Consider the following 24,954-nt stretch of genomic DNA (forward strand, 5'->3'; position numbering starts at 1 on the left):
TGTATATTTTATATAGATCTGCTGGTGGCAAAATATATCTGGTATTTGTTTTGTTTTGGTGAGAAAATTTATTTGACCTCTGTTCTTGAAGAATATAGAATTCTAGATTGAAACTTATTTTCTTTAAGCCCATTGAATATATTTCTCATCTTTCAGTTGCTGTTGAGAATCAATTCTCAATCTAACTGTTTTCCTTTGATTTTAATCTGTTCTTTCTCTGTGTCTGCTTTAAAAATTGTTCTCTATTGGGCCTCAGAAATAACACTACACATCTACAACCATCTGATCTTTGACAAACCTGACAAAAACAAGCAATGGGGAAAGGATTCTCTATTTAATAAATGGTGTTGGGAAAACTGGCTAGCCATATGCAGAAAACTGAAACTAGACCCCTTCCTTACACCTTATACAAAAAATAACTCAGGATGGATTAAAGATTTAAACATAAGACCTAAAGCCATAAAAACCCTAGAAGAAAACCTAGGTAATACCATTCAGGACATAGGCATGGGAAAATCTGCGTGACTAAAACACCAAAAGCAATGACAACATAAGCCAAAATTGACAAATGGGATCTAATTAAACTAAAGAACTTCTGCACAGCAAAAGAAACTATCATCAGTGTGAACAGGTAACTTACAGAATGGGAGAAAATTTTTGCAATCTGTCCATCTGTCAAAGGGCTAATATCTAGAATCTACAAAGAACTTAAACAAATTTACAAGAAAAAAAACAACCCCATCAAAAAGTGGGCAAAGGATATGAACAGACACTTTTCAAAAGGAGACATTTATGTGGCCAACAGACATATGAAAAAAAGCTTATCATCACTGGTCATTTAGAGAAATGCAAATCAAAACCACAATGAGATACCATCTCACACCAGTTAGAATGGTGATCATTAAAAAGTCAGGAAACAACAGATGTTGGAGAGGATGTGGAGAAATAGGAATGCTTTTTCACTGTTGGTGGGAGTGTAAATTAGTTCAACCATTGTGGAAAACAGTGTGGCAACTCATTAAGGATCTGGAACTAGAAACACCATTTGACCCAGTGATCCCATTACTGGGTATATCCCAAAGGATTATAAATCATTCTACTATAAAACACATGCACACATATGTTTATTGGAGCACTGTTCAAGATAGAAAAGACTTGAAACCAATCCAAATGCCCATCAATGATAGACTGGATAAAGAAAATGTGGCACATATACACAATGGAATACTATGCAGCCATAAAAAACAATGAGTTCATGTCCTTTGCAGGAACATGGATGAAGCTGGAAACCATCATTCTCAGCAAACTAACACAGGAACAGAAAACCAAACACCACACGTTCTCACTCATAAGTGGGAATTGAACAATGAGAACATATGGGCACAGGAAGGGAACATCACACACCAGGGCCTGTCAGGGGGTGGGGGGCAAGAGAAGGGATAGCATTAGGAGAAATACCTAATGTACATGATAGGTTGATGGGTGCAGCAGACCACCATGGCATGCGTATACTTATGTAACAAACCTGCACGTTCTGCACATGTATCCCAGAATTTAAAGTCTAATTAAAAAAAAAAATTTTCTCTGTTTTTAACTTCTTCCTTCCGTTTACTGTTATTTTTTCTCTTGTTGTTTTTTTTCCTTTGTTTTTTCCCCCTCACATTTCTTCTTTCCTTAATTTTACTTGTGCTTTACTGTGGATTTCTTCTTGTTTATTATACTTGAGATTTGTTGGCCTTCTTGAATCTTTGGTTTAATTTCTCTCATTGGTCTTGGAAAATCCTAAACCATTACTTTTACAATTATTGCTTTTAAAACTTTCTCTCCATTTTGGGGGGGACTCCAACTAAACATGTGTTAAGCCTCTTTATTTTCTTTTGGGACTCCAACTAAGATGCATTAGACCTTTCATGGCATTATTTTTCTGCATTCCCTCATCTATATTTTCCCACTGTTAGACTTTTCATACTTTATTCTGAATAATTTCCCCTTATATTTTATTTTACCAGTTTTCTCTTCAGTTGTTTCTTTTTTGTTTGTTTGTTTTTGTTTTGTTTTTTTTTTTAGACAGAGTCTTGCTCTGTCACCCCAGCTGCAGTGAAGTGGTGCAGTCTCGGCTCACTGCAACCTCTGCCTCGTGGGTTCAAAAAATTCTCCTGTCTTCAGCCTCCCAAGGAGCTGGGATTATAGGTGTGTACCAGCACACTTGGCTAATGTTTGTATTTTTAGTAGAGATGGGGGTTTCCCCATGTTGGCCAGGCTGGTCTCGAACTCCTGTCCTCAGGTGATCTGCCTGCCTGGGCCTCCCAAAGCACTGGGATTACAGATGTGAGTCACCATGCCTGGCCCAGTTGTTTCTTATCTGCTATAAAGCACATTTATTTATTTATTTTCTGTTTGATTCCTTTTCTTTCTTTTTTTTTCTTTTAGATGGAGTCTTGCTCTGTTGCCCAGGCTGGAGTGCAGTGGTGCGATCTTGGCTCACTGCAACCTCCACCTCCCAGATTCAAGCGATTCTCCTGCCTCAGCCTCCTAAGTAGCTAGGACTACAGGCATGTGCCACCATGCCTGGCTGATTTTTTTTTTTGTATTTTCAGTATTTTTCAGTAGAAACAGGGTTTCTCCATGTTGGCCAGGCTGGTCTCAAACTCCTGACCTCAGGTGATCTGCCTGCCTCTGCCTCCCAAATTGCTGGGATTACAAACATGAGCAACTGTACTTGGCTTGATTATTTAAAAAATTGTTATAACACTACAGTTTCTAACTAGATGCCAAAATTCTCATTTGAGCTTTATTTCATAACAAGCATAGTCTGTGGTCTTAGGTTTATAATAAGCACAGCCTTATGGTCTGTGTCTTATAATTCAAAATTAGGGGTTACCATAGGTCTCTTTCTGTTGCTTATTTTTTCTGTTGATTCTTGCTGTCAGTGTTTGCTTTTTTTATGTGACAAGTTATCACTACATGCTGGATGTTATATTTGAATAATTATAAATGGAAGCACATTTGGACCAAGATGTTATCCTTCTCCAGAAGAAATTTTTATGTATTCCTGTCAGGTATCTAGAGACATTTTCCATCTGGGATCACTGTAATCCAGTTTAAGAATTTAGGATTTTTTCATTTTTTGAAAACTGCCCATAGGCTCTCATAGAACTAGTTTATTTCTGACTCACCCTTATGCTAAAGATGTACCCTTTCAGCATTTCACTGTAAAATGAATGGTGGTTTATCAGGATTCCCACCCTTGGTAGGTCCTGGATTTCAGCTACTTCCATGAGACTAACTAAACCTTAGCTTGGACTTTCAGATGACTTTTATTTTTAAAAAATAAACTGTATTGTGTATATTTGAGGTTTATAGCATGATGGTATGGGACACACATAGATAGTAAAATGGTTACCTCAGTGGAGCAGATTAATATACCTATTATCTAATACAGTTACTTTTTTGTGACAAGAGCAGTTAAAATCTACGTATTTAACAAAATCCCTAATACAATATAGTTTTATTAACTATAGCCCTCATGCTGTACATTAGATCTCTAGGCTTGTTCATTCTGCATGTCTGCTACTTTGTCTTTTCTTTTTGTCTTTTGAGATGAAGTCTCACTCTGTTGCCCAAGCTGGAGTGCAGTGAGGAGATCTTGGCTCACTGTAGCCTCAGTCTCCCAGGTTCAGATGATTCTCCTGTCTTAGCCTCCCTAGTAGCTAGAATTATAGGCACGTGTTAACATGCACTGCTAATTTTTGTATTTTTTGTAGAGATGGGGTTTCACCACGTTAGGCTGGTCTTGAACTCCTGACCTCAAGTGATCCACCCGCCTCGTACTTTGTCTTCTCTTAATCAATAAATCCCCATAGGGAAAAAAAAACAACCTCATAGGTTTACCTCTTTGGATTTTCATCTCTCCAAAATTTTAGTCTGACATTTCTTCGCTTTTTTGTGAAAGAATTGATATAATATTATTGATATAACTGATATTATTGATATAATAAGTGGCATGGCCTGGAATGAATGCAGCTCTACCTGACTCCAAACTATGCTGTTAACTATATTTTCATGCTTTCTCCCAAAATTTGTTTCTCATGTAAATTTTTCTGTATATAATTCCAAAACCAATTTCAGGCACTTTTCGTCACCTATATCATAATGTGGATTAAAATACAATGAAATGAAAACCACCATGTAAAGTTAATTTGCAATAAACAATATAAGCCAGAGGTAGAATGCTATAATGATATAGTAAGCTTTGGCATTAGAGAGACATGTGTTTGACCCTTAGCTTGATCTAACTGCTTTTGACCTTGAGCAAGTTGCTTTGTCCTGTCTGAACTGCAGTTTTATCTTTTATAAGGACAGATGAGACCTAACTTGCCAGACTCATACAATGTACCAATGTCGCCAAAGTGTACTTCACTTAAAGTCATAAAGGATGCCTTTTGCTTTTGTGCTCCATCATCTCAGAAAGTATTTCAGAGCAAGAGCTCACAATGTTTCTATCACTACGCAAATACTCTAAATTCAAGTTTTCAGGAAACATCAGATTATCTTTCACAAGATTTATGGATCTAATTTATTGATCTTCTTTTGCAGTTTACACTAGCTTCAGTGGTTAAGAATGTAAGTGAATAAATTACTTAAAAAGAGGCAACAATGTGTTCTACAGAAATAGAAATATCTGTATTCAAAGGGAATTAAATGACTTTAAAAATTTAACTTTATATTTATTTTTCTATTTCTTTTTATTATTTAATCTTTTTTAAAAAAATTATTTACTTCTGGCCTTACTGAATCATATATTTAATTATTTATTCGCTTAAAAAAATTTTTTTTTTTTGAGATGGAGTCTCGCTCTGTCCCTCAGACTGGAGTGCCGTGGCGCAATCTCGGCTCGCTGCAAGCTCCACCTTCCGGGTTCACACCATTCTCCTGCCTCAGCCTCCCGAGTAGCTGGGACTACAGGCTCCCGCCACCATGCCCGGCTAATTTTTTGTATTTTTAGTAGAGACGGGGTTTCACCGTGTTAGCCAGGATGGTCTCGATCTCCTGACCTCATGATCCGCCCGTCTCGGCCTCCCAAAGTGCTGGGATTACAGGAGTGAGCCACTGCGCCAGGCCCATATACTTATTTTTAAAACTAGTCTTTGATTAGCCTCCTTGAGTGAATTTTACAGTAACTTCAAAATGCTCAAAACTAACAGAGAATCTGATTCATGTTATAAGATAGATCTTGTGATAAAAAAGAATAGAAGAACCACAGTTTCTTTCTGAAGTTTTCTGAAGCAAAAACAATGTGAGCATTTATTTTTGCAGAGAGGCTAACAATGTATGTAAGAGAGGAGTTCAGTTTTAGGAGGAAGAATCACTTTCTACTTTCTCATCTTTAGGAACAATTCTTCAACAACAAAATAACTGACAAAAATTTTGGGGAACATTGTTCCTGACTGAAGAACAAATAAGAACTGGAGCTCAGTTTGAGGGAAATAGCATCATAGATCACTGAATGAAAACCATTCTTAGAGGCTGGGTGCGGTGGCTCACGCTTATAATCCCGGCACCTTGGGAGGCTGAGGTGGGAGAATCACTTGAGCCCTGGAGTTCAAGAACAACCTGGACAACTTAGTGAGACCCTGTTTCTAAAAAAAAAAAAAATTTTACGAGGTGTGGTGGTATACGCGCCTGTAGTCCCAGCTTCTCAAGAGGCTGAGGTGGGAGGATAGCTTGAGCCCGGGACGTCAAGGCTATAGGGAGCTGTGATTATTTCACCATTGCTCTCCCAGCCTGGGTGACAGAGCGACACCTTCTCTCAAAAAGAAAAGAAGAGAAAAGAAAAGAAAAGGGAAGGGAAGGGAAAAAAGGGAAGAGAAGAGAAAAAGAGAAGAGAAGAGAAGAGAAAGCCATTCTTAGTAATTTTGTACCTGTGGTCTTTTTGCTGGTGCACCCTTATTTACTTCCTAACTGTCTCTGACTTTAAGAGATCTGAAGAAGACATGAGTTTTACAGTCACTTATCTCCTTTCCACTCTTGCAGATTTAGGAAACCCTGGAGACCTGAATCTAATCTACAAATTCTACAAAATTTCCTAAAACACTTAACTCACACTTATCTACTTGTCATGTCATACTCCATCTCTCTCTTTGTCTCTATGACTCTCTCTCTCTCACACACACACACACACACACACACACACCCTTCCTTCTCCTTTCCCATTTGTCTCAGAAATTCAGGAAGGAAGAATGGTGACAGTGTTAGGTTACTATTTCAGAGCAACTGTAATGGTGAAATTTGGTACTGTTATCTTGGGTGGGAAGAGGCTATGGTTACAGCCATGATTATGGCTATGGTGTGACTTGGGAAGTTGTTTTCTCCTCCTGATTATCCGCCCCCGCCCCCCACCCCCCCACCAAAAAAAAAGCTTCCAGGTCCTCTTGTCCTGCTGGGAATTGAACAACAATTCTAAGGATCTGATTCTTTTAGAGGATCCTCAAACTTAATTTTGATTACAGCCCAAAACAGGAATCAATGCTATTTATTTCTTTTGTCACGACTCCCTCATTTAACAAATTTATTGAGCAACTTCTTTGTTGTAGGCATTGTGCTAGGAGCTTGGAGTATATGAATATGTAGTGTTAAACAAGACGGACTCATATCCTCACGGAATTTAAAGTCCAGAATAGAGGTTGGCAAACTTTTTTTCTTGTTTTTTTTTGTTTTTTTTGTTTTTTTTTTTTGAGAAGGAGTCTCACTCTGTCGCCCAGGCTGGAGTGCAGTGGCGCAATCTCGGCTCACTGCAATCTCCGCCTCCCAGATTCAAGTGATTCTCCTGCCTCAGCCTCCCGAGTAGCTGGGATTACAGGCGCCTGCCACCATGCCTGGCTAATTTTTGTATTTTTAGTAGAGATGGGGTTTCACCATCTTGGCCAGGCTGGTCTCGAACTCTTGACCTCGTGATCCACCCACCTCGGCCTCCCAAAGTGCTGGGATTACAAGCGTGAGCCACCGTGCCCGGCCTTTTTTTTTTTCTGTAAAGAGGCAGATAGTAAATACTTTTGGCTTTGACGTCATATAATCTCTGTTGCAGCTACTCAACTCTGTCATGGTAGCACACAAGTAGCCACAGACAATGCATAAATGGGTAAGTGCAGCCGTGTTCTAACAAAACTTTATTTATGGGCACTGAAATTTGAATTTCACGTAATTTTTACTTGCTACAAAATGTCATTCTTTTGATTTTTTTCAACCTTTTACTTATGTAAAAACCATTCTTAGTTTGCAGGCCATATAAAAACAAGTGGCAGGCCTGATTCGGCCCATGGGCCACAGTTTACCAGCTCCTAATTTAGAAGGAAAGACAGATATTAACAAACAATCCTTTTGACAAATGCATGGTTGCAAACTGTGATAAATGCCATGAATAACAAGTACAGAATGGGAAAGTAGACCAAGGGGCCCAGACTAGATGGGGGGTGATGAACTGATGTTTAGCCTGAGGTCTGAGGCACGAATGGGAATTATTTCACTCATCCAGCCATGCATGGCTTGGAAGCATTTGCCAAGAAATTTTTTGGCAATCTATGATTATCTTAGTGTTTTGATCCACTCTACAATTCATCCAAACTTTTGGCCTTTTGTCTGTGCCTTCCGGAATTTGACTCTCTTTTCTTTGCCAGAAGGCAGCATCAATATGTGAGTGGTTGAGTCACAGTTAGAACTTCAGTACAGCCAGTAATAAATTTACAATATGTTTTGATCAACCACGAGATTATGAGGGTGGTTTGGAAATAGCACCCTTGTAGAATATTGAAGATACTAAATCTGATAATTTTGCTTTGCACTTAGAACACTGGCCTCAGTTGTTTGTTGTTGATTTTGGATTACTTTTGTTTTGTTTTGTCAGTTACTAGACATTAACAAAAGCTAATATTTGAAATAGAGGATTACTCTAAAAGAGATCAAAGAAACAAAACCTACAATAGACCACCTTTAAACCAATAACCAGGGAGAAACATGCTCATCTGTTTTAATTACCACAGTGCCATTGCTATTCCATAGGATTTCCTCCCACCTCAAATGCTGAGCATAATGACTCACTGGGCAGGGAATCAATAGGCTCCATAGTTAACGTGGGTCTGCTGAAATGCCTCTTGTGCCCACCTTTCATAATGGGCTGGCTGCTGTTTGGCAATCAGCAAACTGCAGAAACAATCCTATCCAATATGAGTCACTGCTTCAGTGACCAGAACTGAGACTCTCCCTTGGGAGTCTCCTTTATTTGTTATGCATGTTTCTTGTGGTGGTTGTTCTGAATCCTTTGAAATTATGCTTTTATGCAAAAAAAATGCCACTGATTATTTTAGTCTTCAAATGATGCGAACTAGGCCTGTGTCCTGGAAAACTTAGACAGCTGCCAGGTTAATCTGAAACTTAGCAACGTGAAATAGGTTATTCTGCCAAACAGAACTCCTGGAAAGACCAAGTCAGTAGATACAAACTGCAAATATCTATGTGGAAACAGTATGTCTTAGTTTGTATCAGGTACTATGATTCATATTTACATGTATTATTTAATAAATCTTCAGGACAAAAAATAGTGAGTTATTGAAGTATGATCATGAAGAGCAGAGACTTTGTTCTAAACTACATGGGTTCAAGGACTAACTCTACCTGTTGGTAGTTATGTGACCTTGGACAGTAATGTAATACTCTGTGCCTTAGTTTCTTCATTTATGTAATCAGGATAACCCCTCAGTGGTAGTTGTGATGATTATAGGAGATAATTTTAAAAGTGCTCGGTGCAGAATCTGTTAAATGGTAAGCACTAATTATAAGATATCAGCTATTATCCTCACTTAACAGATGAAGAAACTAAGGTTCAAAGTGTTTATCTGATTTGCCCAAATTCACGTAGCCAGTACGTGGGAGCGCTAAGATTTGAACTCAGTTTGACTCTAGAGTCCTTCAACATAACAACCACGTTATTATCTTCATCACTATTGCCCTCATTATTATTAGCTATAATTAATGGTCTTAGCAACAAGCCAAAGGAAATCCTTGCCAGGCATACAATGCGGGGTGTGTGCACAAGGCTGCAGAGAATTATTTTTAGTCACAATAACAGACAGGAAGAAAAATCACTACAAGTATGAGGAACTTTGAATACAAAGTTATCAAGATCTATAGTCTACACATTTGTTAAGAAAGATTAACCACCATCACCAACCTCTCCTTGTACTATAGGAATAGATAATTAAAATAGATTCATATAAAAGAATTTATTTGTTCACAAAAACTATTCACTGGAGTACAACCACAATTCAGCAACTACAATAACACAACAAAAAACTGCAATTTTTAACGTGAAACTCTTAAACCAGGGCTCTTTGACAACTAGTATACTTTTGAATAGGCTGAAAGGCCATGAACTCCTAGAATTTGTGTACAATATTTAGGAAGTGTAAGTTTAAGTGTGTTTTTCTGGTGAGAGAGGCTATGATCATCATTAGATTCTCGTAGGGGTCTGTGACTCCAAAAATTTTAAGAACCACTGGTTTCTTTTCTTTTCTTTTTTTTTTAAATTATACTTTAAGTTCTAGGGTACATGTGCGCAAAGTGCAGGTTTGTTACATATGTATACATGTGCCATGTTGGTGTGCTGCACCCATTAACTCGTCATTTACTTTAGGTTTATCTCCTAATGCTATCCCTCCCCCCTCTCCCCACCCAAGAACCACTGGTTTCAACTGAAGGCTCTTCTTATAGTCCAGTTACAATGGTGGTTCCTGAAAGCCTGGTCAGCCACTGGTCCAAGAGAGGTTCCACATTCCTTTCTCTGCTACTAGTGACAATTCTCCTGTGCTTTGTCATTCAAGAGAGTACAGGAATTTAACTTACAACAAAAGTATTCAACACAATACTTCATATGTGATAAGCAATTCGTGTTAGTTAAATCTAGACTAACGCAGTTAGGATGCAGTTAGGATGCAGTTCAGGAGTCAGTCAACTGCAGCTTGTGCCTATTTTTGTAAATAAAGTGTTATTGGAACATAGCCATTCTCATTAATTTACATATTGCCTATGCCCAATTTTGAGGTGCAAGGGCAGATTTAAGTGGTTGTGACAGAACATACGAATCTCAAAGTTTAAAATATTTACTCTCTGGCCCTTGACAGAAAACATTTGCTGACCCCTGATGCTGTTGAAAGAATCTTGGGGTTATAGTCAGGGTGAGCTTGAGATCTGTCTCTATTACTACATGTGTGCCATTGCACAAGATGCTTTATTTTGAACTTCAGTTTTTCATGTAAAAAATGGAGATAACTTCCATCTACTTTGCAGACCCTTCATAGTTACTATCAAGATCAAATGTAATAATGTATGCGAAAGTAAAATACACATTATTAGTACTAAGATCATCATCCCTAAATTACCTACATATGGTGACACAGATTGTTTCTCAGAAAAGGATAGAGAAAAATCATTGCAAAGCATTAAACACAATAGCAATTACCTATTATGCCACAAAATTGTTACTCTTTGTGAGATTTGCCTCCCAAGGCAACTAATATTAGGTGTTGCTTTTTAGGGAAGAAAAACAAATATTTCCTGAATAAATTGCCAAATGAAATACTGAATAGAAATAATAAGCCCAAAATACATTTTCTCATTCAAATATGTGTTTAGTTGAGATGTTGCCCTTGATTTTAGGCATTGCTGTTCATCACCAGAGACAGAAAAATGCTGCAATAGTGTAAATTATGAAATATGAGCTCTCCGTACTTTAGGTAGCCTTTGAAGACTTCGCAGCTTCTGCATTTTTAAAAGTCATATATTTTTCAATAACTTTGATAAATCCTTGAAGTTTTAAAAGGAAATGGAATTGCTTATGCACCAATTTTTGTGAAGGAAGTGAATGATTTATCCATAATCTCACATATCCAGTTAAAGTTAATGGGAAGACTCAAAGTCTCCTGAAAAAAAATAGATAATATTTATCCCACCATTTCCCACAATTCAAGCAATACCATAGAAATTGAAAACACATGTTTTTTCTTTCTATTAAATTAATGAATGATATATTCTCTTTCCCCTTTACTGAAATGGGTGGTTGCTATTTCTAAATTATTTAATTGTATCAATGATATTATTTGGTTTGAGACCAAATAATTCTTTGAGTTAACTTCTCCTTCATCTATAGGATGTGGTACAATAAGACAAAATCAGAAAGAAAGAACCAACCTCTGGGCATTAAGGTAGTAATCTGGGAGTTGAAAGGATATATGCAAATTCGAGTGTTTTGAAACATATTCTACTAATACTAGTCAGATTGTAACCCAATTTTCTAAGCAATGAAGCTACAATTTTGGCCACCAGTTTCTACCTTACTATAGAAGGAGTGCCAATAAAGTATTGTATTAGTCCGTTCCTACATTACTATAAACAACTACTTGAGACTGGGTAATTTATAAAGAAAAGAGATTTAATTGGCTCACGATTCCACAGGCTGTACAGGAAGCATGGCTGGGGAGGCCTCAGGAAACTTACAATCATGGCAGAAGATGAAAGGAAAGCAGGCACATTTTTACATGTCTAGAGCAGGAGGAAGAGAGTTAAGGGGGAGGTGCTACACTTTTAAACAACCAGATCTCACTCATTATCACAAGAATAGGAAGGGGAAAATCCACCCCCATGATCCCATCACCTCCCAGCAGGCCCCTCCACCAACATTGGGAATTACAATTCAACCTGAGATTTGGGCCTTGGGCCGGGACCCATATCCAAACTATATCGTTCGGTCTCTGGCCCCTCCCAAATCTCATGTTGTTCTCACATTGCAAAACACAATCATCCCGTCTCAACAGTCCCCCAACTCTTAACTCATTTTAGCATTAACTCAAAAGTCCATAGTCCAAAGTCTTATCTGAGAAAAGTCCCTTCTGTCTATATGCCTGCACAATTAAAAACAAGTTAGTTACTTCCAAGATACAATGGGAGTACAAGCACTGGGTAAATACACCCATTCTAAAAGGGAGAAATAGTGAAAACAAAGGGGCTACAGCCCACATGCAAGTCCAAAACGCAGCAGGGTAGTCATTAAATCTTAAAGCTCCAAAATAATCTCCTTGACTCCATGTCTCACATCCACACCACACTGATGCAAAGGGTGGGCTCCCAAGGCTGTGAGCAACTATATTACAAGGCAACCAGGTCTGGGTCCTGGTTTCATCTTGAGAAATTTACTTATATGAAAATAATCCTATGTGTTAAAGAATTGAAGAGAGAGCTGGGGAACTACTCTCAAACAATGACAGGTGTTAGGTCAGCATTGGAGGTACAGATCATAGTAAACAATTGAGTGTCAGCAGGTCATTGCTGCAGTAATGGACCAGCTTCAGTGGCGTTTTCTAGCGTCATATTACCCCATTTAAGATGCAGGTTCTGGAGAATGCATAGATCTAGCTTAAGTTTCATGTCTATCTGTTGACTAGAGATAAGGTAGAACCCTTTTATTAGGGCTTATGCCCAATCTGAGGCTACATCCAAAGGGAGAAAGCTAGTCACCAAAGAAAATCAGAATTCTGTTAACAAAAGAAGGAGATATATGGACCTTGGGATGCCTGAAACAGTTACAAAGATAATCATGCCTGCCTCTTCAGGTTTTTAAACATATTAAAAGAGGCAACATATTTAAAATATATATCACAGAGATATCCACTTTAGAAAAGTAGCTGAATAGCAACTTCAATCAAGTCTCCTCTAACTTATAGAAAGCAATAAAAACACACATTATCATGGAGAAAAAAGACTTCCTTCAACTCAAAGCATAGCTATATTTTGTTTCACGAAACAGAAATTACCTTAACACAGCTAGAAAGACATTATTTGTCATACTCTATATTTGCCCCATTTCCAATGGTATATACAGCTAGAACACAAGGTAGCCATTCCTCCTCTGCATGAATACTGCTTTTCAGAAGACCACAGTGCTGCTTTCCACTACTACTGCTATCTTTCTGCATTCTTGTGGAAAGAGTCACCTAAAACAACTGGACAGAACAGAGGGGTCATGCAAATCTGGACACAATTCTGAGACAAAAACTGTTTGTTACATTTTGTTGAATTGGGAAGTTGAGATCACATAAATGAGGCATTGCAAGTGTGGGTGTGGAGACAGAAAAAATACTTGTAATCCTACAAATTAGGAACTGTAGAATTTCCTCTCCTCCATCAGTTTGCAACATTAGAGAATCAGCCACTGAAGTTAGAAGAAGAAGTAAGAGTTATCAGAAACCAGGATTTAGAGAACATTAGCCAGTCTATATATACTCCAGCGATAGGCCAATAAAGGTGATTTAACCAACACCAAGCAGAAAGCGCACACCACCAATAATGACTCCATTTCACTTGCATTTACTGAGTCTTGGAAGCTCTCTTTTCACTAACACATATGGATTGAGAAATCTGAGTGGGGCCTGTGAAAAATATTATAGGACAAGGCAAAGTTGCTTTTAGGATTAGTGAGTTGTATTAAAAGTACTTTATGACGGGGGTGAGGGGTGGGGAGGATGTTGAGTACAAACAGGAAAAGAGGCAGAGCACACCTCTGAAAATGACCTATTGAAAGGATCAGAGGACATTTCAGAAAATGGCTTGGCATGAAGAGGAAGCTCTATATCTTATATAAATTGGCATCCAAGGCAATTTATGCTGTTTGCTCTGCGGACTCTGGGCCCTCTGTTGGTTCTTGCCATAGTTCCCAGGCAGGTGCTTTGAGGCCCCTGCTTTACTCATTCTAGCCATGCTTACAGCAGGCTCTGTGTAGGATTTTATTGGGTTGACTATCAGCACCCCTCAAGTGGTTCCATATGCCAACCCTGGCTTTACTACCACTTTCCACTGATCCTTTACTCAGAGTTCCAAGTCTTTTCAGACTTTTAATCTGGGTTCCTGTGGCTTTTCCCCCTTGGCTGCTGGTGGCCTAATAGCCTTTCTTCCTCCTGTGGCTCTGCTTCATAGCCCTGCTCGAAAGCAGATGCTCTGGCTCCTTCCACAACGCATACTGCCAGTTTCATGGCATTTTCTTGCTGCTTTTGGCTGTAACTCTCAACTTCCCAAGGCCCAATTGTAAGACACCATGTGGGACAGACCCAAGAGGAGGGATATGGTGGGTGGGGGAAGGGGATATTGTGTAGAAGATGTGAAATGAGACTGAATTTATTGTCAAGGCATAAGGAACATTTTTCTATCAACTTGGTTTTCACACGATTCAGATGCAAATTGGTTAAAATGAACACTTTTCTTGTGGGATGGGAAAGATATGTTTCAGTGGAGACTGTCCTTTTAAGGAATGAAATTTAGGGGCCTGCTTTTGGCAAATGTCCTGTCTTTAATCTTGGCTTCCGCATGTCCTCTGTTTACCTTCCAGTTGAGAGGCAGTCTGCCATCTCCCTATCTCCCTGTATTATCACCTTTCAGTTGTTTCCAGCTGCCTCCGCAGTGCCCATATTTTGTCCTTGATTTTCCGTTTCGAATATGGATCATTTTACTATTGACACAGGATAAGCTTTTAATCCACTTTTTGCCTTTTCTTTTTGTCTTTCTCTCTTTTATTTCTTTTTTTTTTTTTTTTTTTTTTTGCTTTTTTTTGTTTTTTTGAGACAGAGTCTTGCTCGATCATCTAGGCTGGAGTGCAGTGGCACAATCACCGCTCACTGCAGCCTCCACCTCTGGGCTCAAGCAGTTCTCCGGCTTCAATCTCCCAAGCTTTTTGTTTCATTTCCTTTTCTTCATACTCTCCCTACATAGGCAACTGCCTCTACTATAAAAGGCAATATGGTCCAGCGAGGAGGTCAGCAATTAAAAGAAAATGAACTTCAATTGCCAGCAACAACTCTGAGAAATGATGGTGACTAACCATGGACCCTTTATTATGGAGCAAAATGGAATGAGGGAACAGGAGGTCATCACTGAAAACAATGGGGAGGGCCAAGACAGAGAATGATGATCAGACTTATTGCTGTTAGGCGTACCACTTTCCTGGGCTATATCTTTATATCTGTGGTTCTTGATTTTGCCTCTCAAGGATCATTTGGCAATGTCTGGAGACATCTTCATTTGTTACAGCTGGGGAGGGATATGTTATTGACTATCTGGTAGGTAGAGGCCAGGGATGCTGCCATGCATCCTACGATATACAGGAGAGCCCCTGACTTTAAAAAAGCTATCCAACCCCAAATATCAATAGTGGCAAAGTTGATATACCCCCTGTGCATACAGCTTCTTACAGCCATGGTTAGGTCTTGAGAGATTTTAGCCAGGAGATATGAATGCTAGTCCCTTGGGGGACTTCATCCCTATGCATTAGGTCATTTGTCACTAACCCTGTAAGCATAAAACCAAAACCAAAGTCAATTCCAAAGGGCAAAAAGTAAGTGATTTTTTTTTTATTTATTTCTTTTTGGTGGGGGTGGGTGCATAGTCTCTCTCTGTCACCCAGGCTGGAATGCAGTGGCGTCATCTTGGCTTGCTGCAACCTCTGCCTCCCCAGTTCAGCAATTCTCCCACCTCAGCTTCCCGAGTAGCTGGGATTACAGGCATGTGCCACCACACCCAGCTAATTTTTTTTTTTGCATTTTTAGTAGAGATGGGGTTTCACCATGTTGGCTGGGCTGGTCTCTAACTCCTGACCCAGGTGATCTGCCTGCCTCCACCTCCCAAAGTGCTGAGATTACAGGCATGAGCCACTGAGCCTGGCCAAAAAGTAAGTCATTTAACTCCTTGGTGCCATGATGTCTGAGTCTATTTAGTGTTGCTGTAACAAAATATCTGAGGTTGGGCCCCTTATGAAGAAAAGAGATTTATTTGGCTCATGATTCTGGTGGCTGGAATGTTCAAGATTGGGCATCTGGTGAGGACCTCACACTGCTTCAACTCATGGTGGAAAGTGGAAGGGGAGCTGGGGTGTATGAAGAGATCACATAGTGAGAGAGGAAGCAAGAGAGAGAGAAACTGAGGAAGCCACACAGACAGAGAATCTGTGCTAAAGGGAACTAATCCATTCCCAGTAGAGGGAGCCCTCACTCGCCCCAGTGGGAGGGCATTAATCTACTCATGAGGAAGCTGCCCCCATGACCCTAGCACCTCACACTAGACCCCACCTCCTGACACTGCCACACTGGGGATCAAATTTCAACATGAGTTTTTTCATGAACAAATCACATCCAAATCATAGCATATGATATATTTCTCCTTTCTTTTCTATTACTCCTTGGAGCCTACAATGGCTCATCTTAGTTCCCTGTAGTCAAAAGTGCCTCCTTAGTTGCATCTCAACTCAGATGCAAACTGGAAAACAAATAAAAAGAGAGAGAAAGGCATAGAGACATACATATTTTAGAATTTCTTTGGTGCTGTATCCTGTACGCCCCCTTCCCTGACATCTCCCTGTCTTCACTCCCACCCTGTTTACCTTAGCCCCACTTCACTTTCATCTCCTGTCACTATTCTTCAATATTGCCTTCTGCAGAACAGATAGAACGCCTTCCTTAGGTAGGAAAAAGGGAAAAACCTTTCAAGGAGCCAGCCTATGCTGTTCTGAGTAAGTCAGTCAGTCATCTCAAGTACAGAATCACATAGACTATGTGTTGTTAAGTATTAATATGATTTCATTGTTTTGGTATTTCGAATACCATGGGCATGGTCAGTATTTTACCCTTGTCATCTCAGTTTTTAACTAGAAAGAAATGCTATAAAGATTAGGGGAGATGATATTTATGAATCCCTTAGAGACTTAGATTTTCAAAAGGTGCTATTTAGAAAATAATGTTATTTTAATTATGTTTATGATTTCTACAAATAGGCCTAATTTTCGATGATCTGACACAAGGAAGGGAGGTAATAGGATATTTGCTTTGAGTAAATGAGGCTCTCCTAGCTAAGCTACCCCAGTTATTGATGAGTGACTGACAAAAATCTTCAGGTAGCATGTTCTGCTTTAGCCAGGATTCAGGGGGTGCTATGACATGGGGCAAGATCTACAGACTGAGCACATATGTCCTCTGAAAGCTGCCTTTCCTTTAGTTATTCACCTGTGTCCAATAATTTTTTTATTTTGGTAATTATGAAAACGATTCACTAAGGCTAATTTATATGTGTGAGTTTTAGCTCAAGATTATCTTTTCTTTATTTGATTTTGGAAAGAAGCAAAGTAGCTCTTTGGAATAAAAAACTTGCTGGAGAGTCCTATGCCCTAGGACATATAATATCTTGTCCTCCTCCCCTCCCAAACTCCATTCACCCCCTCCATAACATCCTCCCAAATCAGGTACTATGTAGCCAGGTATGTTAACACTCAACTTTTACCAGATGAATGAAATCAATCCCTATTGTGGCTGAAAAATACGTGCAATTAATTTACACATATAGAAGCTCTGCAGCTTGTGGTCATTATTTTACTTTGTTTTTATTGATCAAGGTAAATCCATTATCTGTTGATCAATACTAACTGAAATGATACAGTGTCAGAGAATTAAGTAATATTAGATGAGGAGATAAGAAATATGTTCCTGTTTTGCCATTATCTAGCCCTGTGTCTTTGGATAAGGCATTTTACTTTGCACCTTAGTTTTCTCATACGTAAAGTGAGGGAGATAGCCTGGAAAACTTCTATGGTGTTTTCAGCTCCAAAATTTTAAATTCTATGACTTTATAGTTGAAATATAAACTTTATAAGGATATGACATATTTACAATTATGGCTTTTTGAGTAGAAGGAAAACTTGAGTAGAAGGAAATCTTCAATTACATAATATATTTAACTTGTACACATAAAAACCCCCCAAACCTTGAGATAATTGATTTTACCTAAATGTTCATCCCTTTCCCTATTTTCAGCCAGCTCTATACCCATATTATGTTTATGACATAGTTTCAAGCTATTTGCCATGTATCCACCAACAGAAATTTACAGAAGAGAGTACTTTCTAGAATTTACCCATTACGGTTACAAAAATAAATTATTTTGTTGTATAAAATGAGGGAAAAATAATGTGAGGTTTTCATGAAAAACTTCAAAGTCTAATGGAAGAATAAGGCAGGATGTGGTTCTATTTATTTAAAACTGTTTAACTTTTTAGGTCCAAGGAGTGATATGAATTCCAAAAGGAATGATTTCCAGGAGGAAGAGAAACTTTTGATGGTTGGCCTAATAAAATAGAACTACACATTAGTGAAACTGAATTCAAAGGCGCTTCCAACGCTGCTGCACACAGATGAGCCCTCTCGCTGGATCCCGTCCAACCCCAACGGCTGCGCGCACTGTAACCACCATGTGTCATCTGCAAACCAGATAGTTTCTGTGCGGGAAAGACCAGCCAGCTTTCTTGGCCAAGCTGCTGCCATAAAACACACTAGTGATTTGGTTTTTCATGTTTTTTTTTTAAGATATGCTTTGATGCACAGGATACGTTTGGTCTCACATTGTCCAGAGCACTATCAGAAATGACTAGTTGATGAATGTTGTACCAGAATCAGGTCACATTTTGACAGGTTGTTTTGTGTCACTGCAAATCATTGCTTTACAATATGGACTTTTTTTCCCCCTTAACTTTTAAATCTTAAGCGTAAGAATATAAAGTGCGGCTAAACACTCTCAAACATTAGGAGTAATCTGCCTTTAACAACTTATATGCATCAGCTGCCTTTTGATATCGTTTGCAAAAAGCAAAGGCATCATGGGATCTCTTAAAAGAACTGGAAAACTAAATGTCAGAACTGCATTTTTACACTCAGCTAGAGAAATTCCTGCCTCGTATAAAACACCTACGTTCTAACACCTCGTGTTTGCTTTGGAGACTTACAAAGAGTTAATACAGCTTGTTTGGCATCAGATATTGGTATAATGGGCTTTTACTGAAGTAATTAAAATTTGTTTATAATTAATACAGATGAATTGGTTTCTGCACAATAATAGTTAGGAGATTAACAAAGGCCACATTTTGGCAACAGGACTACATTCTTTTCCAAGTGCTGTGGGACCTTATCCAATGAATGTCTGTCCAATCCGGCTGATTCTTCAGAGATGCCATATGGCACAGCTATGCATTATGACTTTTTTTTTCAAAAAGGCAGCCATATGACATAACTGATCTTTAAAACGTTGTCAGAAGGCATTACCTGGGTAGGCTTTGAGCTGCTTTCCAAAAACTTAGCAAGCACAGGGGCTATTAATTATGAGCAAAAGAAATGTGCACGCGCACACTGGAAATTTGGCATTCTTTCCTCCCTAGTCACGGCTGATCATCTCTCAAGCCGTTCTACTTGGGGAAGTAAGGAGTCTTTTTAAAAAAAATGTCTAACAGTGAAAAAAGAACATATTCTGCATTAAAATACGTATTCAGCAATTTCACTACAAAATGTCTTTGTACTTGACCCAAACATGCACACATTTTGCTACCTGTACTTTCACCATATTCACTAATTTAAAAAATATATATAATGCTATTTACAACCAAAAGTTTCACAATATTTGAGGTACTAATATGGTGCAGAAAAAGAATTTTTTTTTTTTGAGACGGACTCTTGGAGTGCAGTGGCTCAATCTCTGCTCACTGTAACCTCTGTCTCCCAGGTTTCAAGCGATTCTCCTGCCTCAGCCTCCTGAGTAGCTGGGATTACAGGCAAGTGCCACCACGCCTGGCTAATTTTTGTATTTTTTTTTTTAGTGGAGACGGGGTTTCACCATGTTGGTCAGGCTAGACTCAAACTCCTGACCTCATGATCTGCCCACCTTGGGCTCCCAAAGTGCTGGGATTACAGGAGTGAACCACTGCGCCCGGCAGAGAAAAAGAATTTTTGTGTGTGTTTGTGTGGTGGTAGTAGTTGATTTCTATTTGACATCTTTATTTTCTGCACTCAATTTCAGATAGCAGAAAATATAAATTGCCCAAGTATTTTCTTTCCAATGTCCTCAGAAAATTGGGTTGTGCAGAGGGGGACATTCATTTTAAACTTTCCATTTTTGTATGTGCTTAGAAAGAGTTGATTGCATTAATTTCCATTTTTAAACACTGTATTAAAATTTGGAGAACTCTATACGCTAGGAGAAGGGGAATAGAGAACAAATCAATGGAATCAGTGGACTGGATGCAGCTACAGCCTGGATGAGCAGAGCTACCTCTGCATTATTCTATGCTCACTCCTTCTAGCCTACTGCTGCTCTGTACGTATTCTGATAATGTTTACTGGACTTCTCCATTCCGATCTCAAATTCAATGTATGTCATATAAAACTCCCTCAGGCCAGGTGCAGTGGCTCGTGCCTGTAATCCCAGCACTTGAGGAGGCCGAGGCGGGTGGATCACGAGGTCAGGAGTTCAAGACCAGCCTAACCAATATGGTGAAACCCCGTCTCTACTAAAAATACAAAAATTAGCTGGGCGTGGTGGTGTGCGCCTGTAGATCCAGCTGACTTGGGAGGCTGAGGCAGGAGAATTGCTTGAACCCGGGAGGCAGAGGTTGCAGTGAGCCGAGATTGCGCCACTGCACTGCAGCCTGGACGACAGAGGGAGACTCTGTCTCAAAACAGAGGACAAAAAACTCCCTCAAACTTGTTCCTTTCACCGTCTTCCTTTTCTCTGTTAATGTCCACTCCATCCTTTTAGTAAATCAGTTTTTCAGTCATCTTTGACTTCTCTTTTTTCCCTCATGCCCCATTTCACCCACCATCAGATCCAGTGAACTTTAACCCCCAAAATGCAGTCAGCCCTCCATATCTGTGGGTACTGCATTGCAGATTCAACCAATCACAGATTAAAAAATTTCAGAAAAAATAATAAATACAACACAAATTTAAAAAATACAAATAAAAATAATACAGTATAACAACTATTTACATTGCATTAAGTATTATGAGGTAATCTAGAGATGATTTAAAACATAAGGGAGAATATATGTAGATTATATGCAAATACTACATCATATTATATCGGGGACTTGAGTGTCTGTGAATTTAGTTATCTGCATGGGTCCTGGAACCAATCCCCCATGGACACCAAGGGACAACTGTATACCCTGAATTACTTTACTTCTAGCTACCTTTACTGCTAGGATTCTAGTTGTAAGCACTACCATCTTTCTCTTTTGTTATTATAGTAGCCTTCTGTTTCCCTGTTTCTACCCCTCCTTGCCTAAAAGTTTTCAAGACAGCATTCCCAGTGATCTCATCAAAGTAAATGTTAGATCATGTCTCTTTCCTGATCAAACTTTTCCAATGGCATCCAAGCTCACTTGGAATAAAAGTCAAAGTCCTTACCAGACCTACAGGCCCTACACGGTTGGGTCTCTTGTTACTTTGATAGGCACAGTATGCACCTTCTGCCTCAGGGCTCCTGCATCTACTGCTTATTCTCTCAGTGGTGTTTCGGGGTGCAATCCTACTGACTTGTGGGTGAATTGTTAAATTGTCGGGAATTGTGCTAGCTGGTTGTAAACCAGTGGTAGCTGGAAATCAGCCAAAGTGGGAGCATTTACACCAAGGAAACTGGCAAAATCTAAAAATTAGGTCTCCTCATCCCATGAAGAGCTCGTTGTTAAGCATTTCCCAGAACGCCACTGTATTTTCCCTTCCTGGAATGTTCTCCTATTACAGGAGCACCTCCTCCACTTCTTCAACATTTTTCAGGTCTTTACTTACTGAAGACTATTTAATAGTCAGGTCCCCTGTGACTATCCCATTTAAACTATAACCACCTCTCAACCCCCTCTTCTGTATCCCCTCATTATTTTTCTCCATTAAACTTGTTATTTATATATTTATTTTTAGTTTATTTTGTGTCTTCCTGCAATAGCATATGGAATGAATGCATAATTGAATGAATTAATACTCCATCATATATCTTCCGATGCTGATAACCAGATAATAGCTATCAGAGTTCTACTTCACCATATAGCGCCTGAAGTGCTAATTTTTAAGAACTAATTATTTGGAAATAATTTATTTTATTTGAAATAATTTTGATTTCATAGAAGAGTTGCAAGAACTGTATTTTAAAAAAAATTTTGTATACCCTTCACTCAGATTCAGTAGTTACTAACATTTTGCCACATCTATCTATCTAGGGTTTTTTTTTTTTTTTTTTAAGCAGAACTATTTTAGATGCTTTGTCCACATCACAAACCTTTATTTTAGCTAGAATCTTTTCAGAAAAAGGATATTCTCTTATATAACCACAAAATTATGGTTACCCTTAAGATATTTATCGTTGACAAAATAGTATTATTTAATACGGTTTTCATGTTTAAATTTTGCTACCTGCTCCCAAAATGTCCTTTTTTTTTCTTTTCTTTTTTTTTTGAGATGGAGTCTCACTCTGTCACCCAGGCTGGAGTGCAACTGTGCAATCTTGGCTTACTGCAACCTCCGCCTCCTGGGTTCAAGTGATTCTCCTGCCTCAGCCTCCTGAGTAGCTGGGATCACAGGTGTACACCACCACGTGGGGCCAATTTTTGTATTTTTAGTAGATACGGGGTTTCACCATCTTAGGCTGGTCTCGAACTCCTGACCTCATGATCCGGCCGCCTCAGCTTCCCAAAGTGCTGGGATTACAGGCATGAGCCACTGTGCCCAGCATCTAAAATGTCCTTTTAACACTTTCTTCTCTCCAGCTCAGCATCCAATCCAGCACCATAAATTGCATGTTATGCGTTGTTTCACAGTTCATTGATAATTCTTGCCTGATGGTCATACGATGGTGATTTTAAAAATTCTCTTATTCTTTCTACACTTATTATTTGTCATTCTATTATAAGGAAGAGCTTTTCCTTTTCCCTAATATACTGTCAGTATGAACTAACATAATTCACCTTATTTGATGCCTTACAATCTATTATTGTTATTATTTTGATGTAAAATTGTCCCAGATTTGTTCAGTGAGATCCTCTTTCAATGAATCCTTATGTCCCTTTGAGATTACATGTCCCTGTCTTTCTTTAGAGTACTTCCTCACATTTTTGTATAACAAGATTTTTTAAGGTTAATCTTGTAGTTTTCCTGCCCCAGCGTGAAATCAACCATTTTTCAAAGAAGTGTGACTTTTTCTAGTGAAAAATGGTATTTATAAGCCAACATATGAGCCCTGGATGTTTTCATTGCTACCAAGGTACCATTTCTTCTAGGCCTTTTCAGTAGGCAGAATTGGAAAAAAAAGGCATTGCTTATGAACCATAAATCTATGTGTATGTGTATGTGCATGTATAAAATATGTAAAATAATGTTCCTTTCCCTCCTCCAAGTCACTCTGTCTACATATGTGTATTTGTGTGTGTGTGTGTTTGTGTCTGTGTGTCTTTGTATGTAATCATTAAGATTTTTGGAACACCATATAAATATATGTGTGTAGATGAGCATGTGTATGAATAAAATCATGAGTTAATGATAACTCTAATTCCAAATTAGCAGCAAAGGGTTCTTTCTTATTTTCTACCATTATGTGTTTGTATTTTTCTTCTCTCACAGTAAGAACTCTATCTCCCAAGGATATTAACATACTCATTTGGTCAATTCTATGATACACACAACATAGATTCAGAATCACTATGTCCACACTGCTCTGGAAGCAAGAAACAAACTTTCTAGGTAGAGTTCAAGATGTGTTGGAAATTTCCTTTGCTTTTAAAATGATTTATAATTAAAGTACTATGTTCAAAAGCTACTTGGTTTTTTTTCCTCTTTCCTTCAAAGTGGTTATATTGTTTCTTTTTTTTTTCTTTTTTTTTTTTTTAAGTACAATTTCCATTTTATTTTTCTCCAGAGAATAGTCTGTCTTCAGTCTTTAAGAACTCAGCTCCTTACATGGGCTTTGATGGGGGACGTGGGGCAGCACCCGCAGGTCTAAATCGGGGTGGGGGTGTTCGGTCCTTGCGGGCTTCACGAGATCGATTCCTGACTATTTTGCGGTGAACTGCACAACTCACGCAGTAATGTAGCTTCACATACAGCTTGGGAAGCACACAGGCATCGAAGACGCTAGCTTCAGAAATGTCCCTGACTGCTGCGGCCTCCACTATGTTTCGAATGACGAATTTCTTAATGGCCTTGCCCTTGGGCACACATCGGGCACAGTTAGTGCGGCGAATAGGCTGCGCGTGGTGGCGGCCCTTTTTGGCACGACCGTTGTTCCTTCTTTTCTTTGTCATCTTGGAGGCACGGACCGGAGAGAGATATTATTTCTTTATAATATAGTTAGGGTCTTTTTTTCTGTTTGTATGTAGTTTGACTTTGTCTTCCCATCCTTGTTTATTTAATTTTAAATTTCAAATATGTAAAACATCAAAATAGTTCAAAAATTCAAAACTATGCAAAAACAAAGTTCTCACTCAGAAAAGTGTTGCTCCTTCTGCTGCTGCTTTCATCTCATTCCCAACTACCCCATGTAAGAAATCAGTTTTGTTAGTTTCTGGTTTACCCTTTCTGCCTATTTATGTTTGTTTGCAAAAATAAACAGATAGCATGAGTATTTTAAAATTCTTCCTTCTTCCTTACACAAAAGGTAGAGGCTGGGCATGGTGGCTCATGCCTGTAATTCCAAAACTTTGGTAGGCTGAGGCAAGAAGATTGCCTGAACCCAGGAGTAGGAGACCAGCTGAGCAACATAGTGAGACCTCATCTTTACAAGACACCTAAAAAATTAGCTGGGTGTGGTAGCGCATGCCTGCAGTCCCAGGTGCTTGGGAAGCTGAGGTGGGAGGACTGCTTGAGCCCATGAGGTCAAGGCTGCAGTGAGCTGAGATGGTGCCACTGAATTCCAGCCTGTGTGACAGAGCAAGATCCTGTCTCGAGAAATAAAAATAAAATAATAATAATAATAAGTAGAAGATTATACATTCTTTCTTGTACTTTTTATTTAATTTTTAAACAATATACACTAGAAACCACTTCAAGTCAGTTCACACAGATTTTC

At 38.8% G+C, this 24,954-nt stretch overlaps 1 pseudogene, besides 1 other annotated feature; it reads right to left on the minus strand.

The window, feature by feature from the left end:
* Positions 11,428-11,972: an enhancer, noted in NCBI's record as "OCT4-NANOG hESC enhancer chr8:93143901-93144445 (GRCh37/hg19 assembly coordinates)". NCBI's record gives its function as "activates a minimal SCP1, AML or CMV promoter by ChIP-STARR-seq in primed H9 embryonic stem cells {active_cell/tissue: H9 hESC(primed)}" and the evidence as "EXISTENCE:reporter gene assay evidence [ECO:0000049][PMID:30033119]".
* On the minus strand, positions 23,774-24,214 carry RPS26P10 (ribosomal protein S26 pseudogene 10; annotated as a pseudogene).

The sequence above is a fragment of the Homo sapiens genome, chromosome 8 (genome assembly GCF_000001405.40).
Source record: "Homo sapiens chromosome 8, GRCh38.p14 Primary Assembly".
NCBI classification, from domain to species: Eukaryota; Metazoa; Chordata; class Mammalia; order Primates; family Hominidae; genus Homo; species Homo sapiens.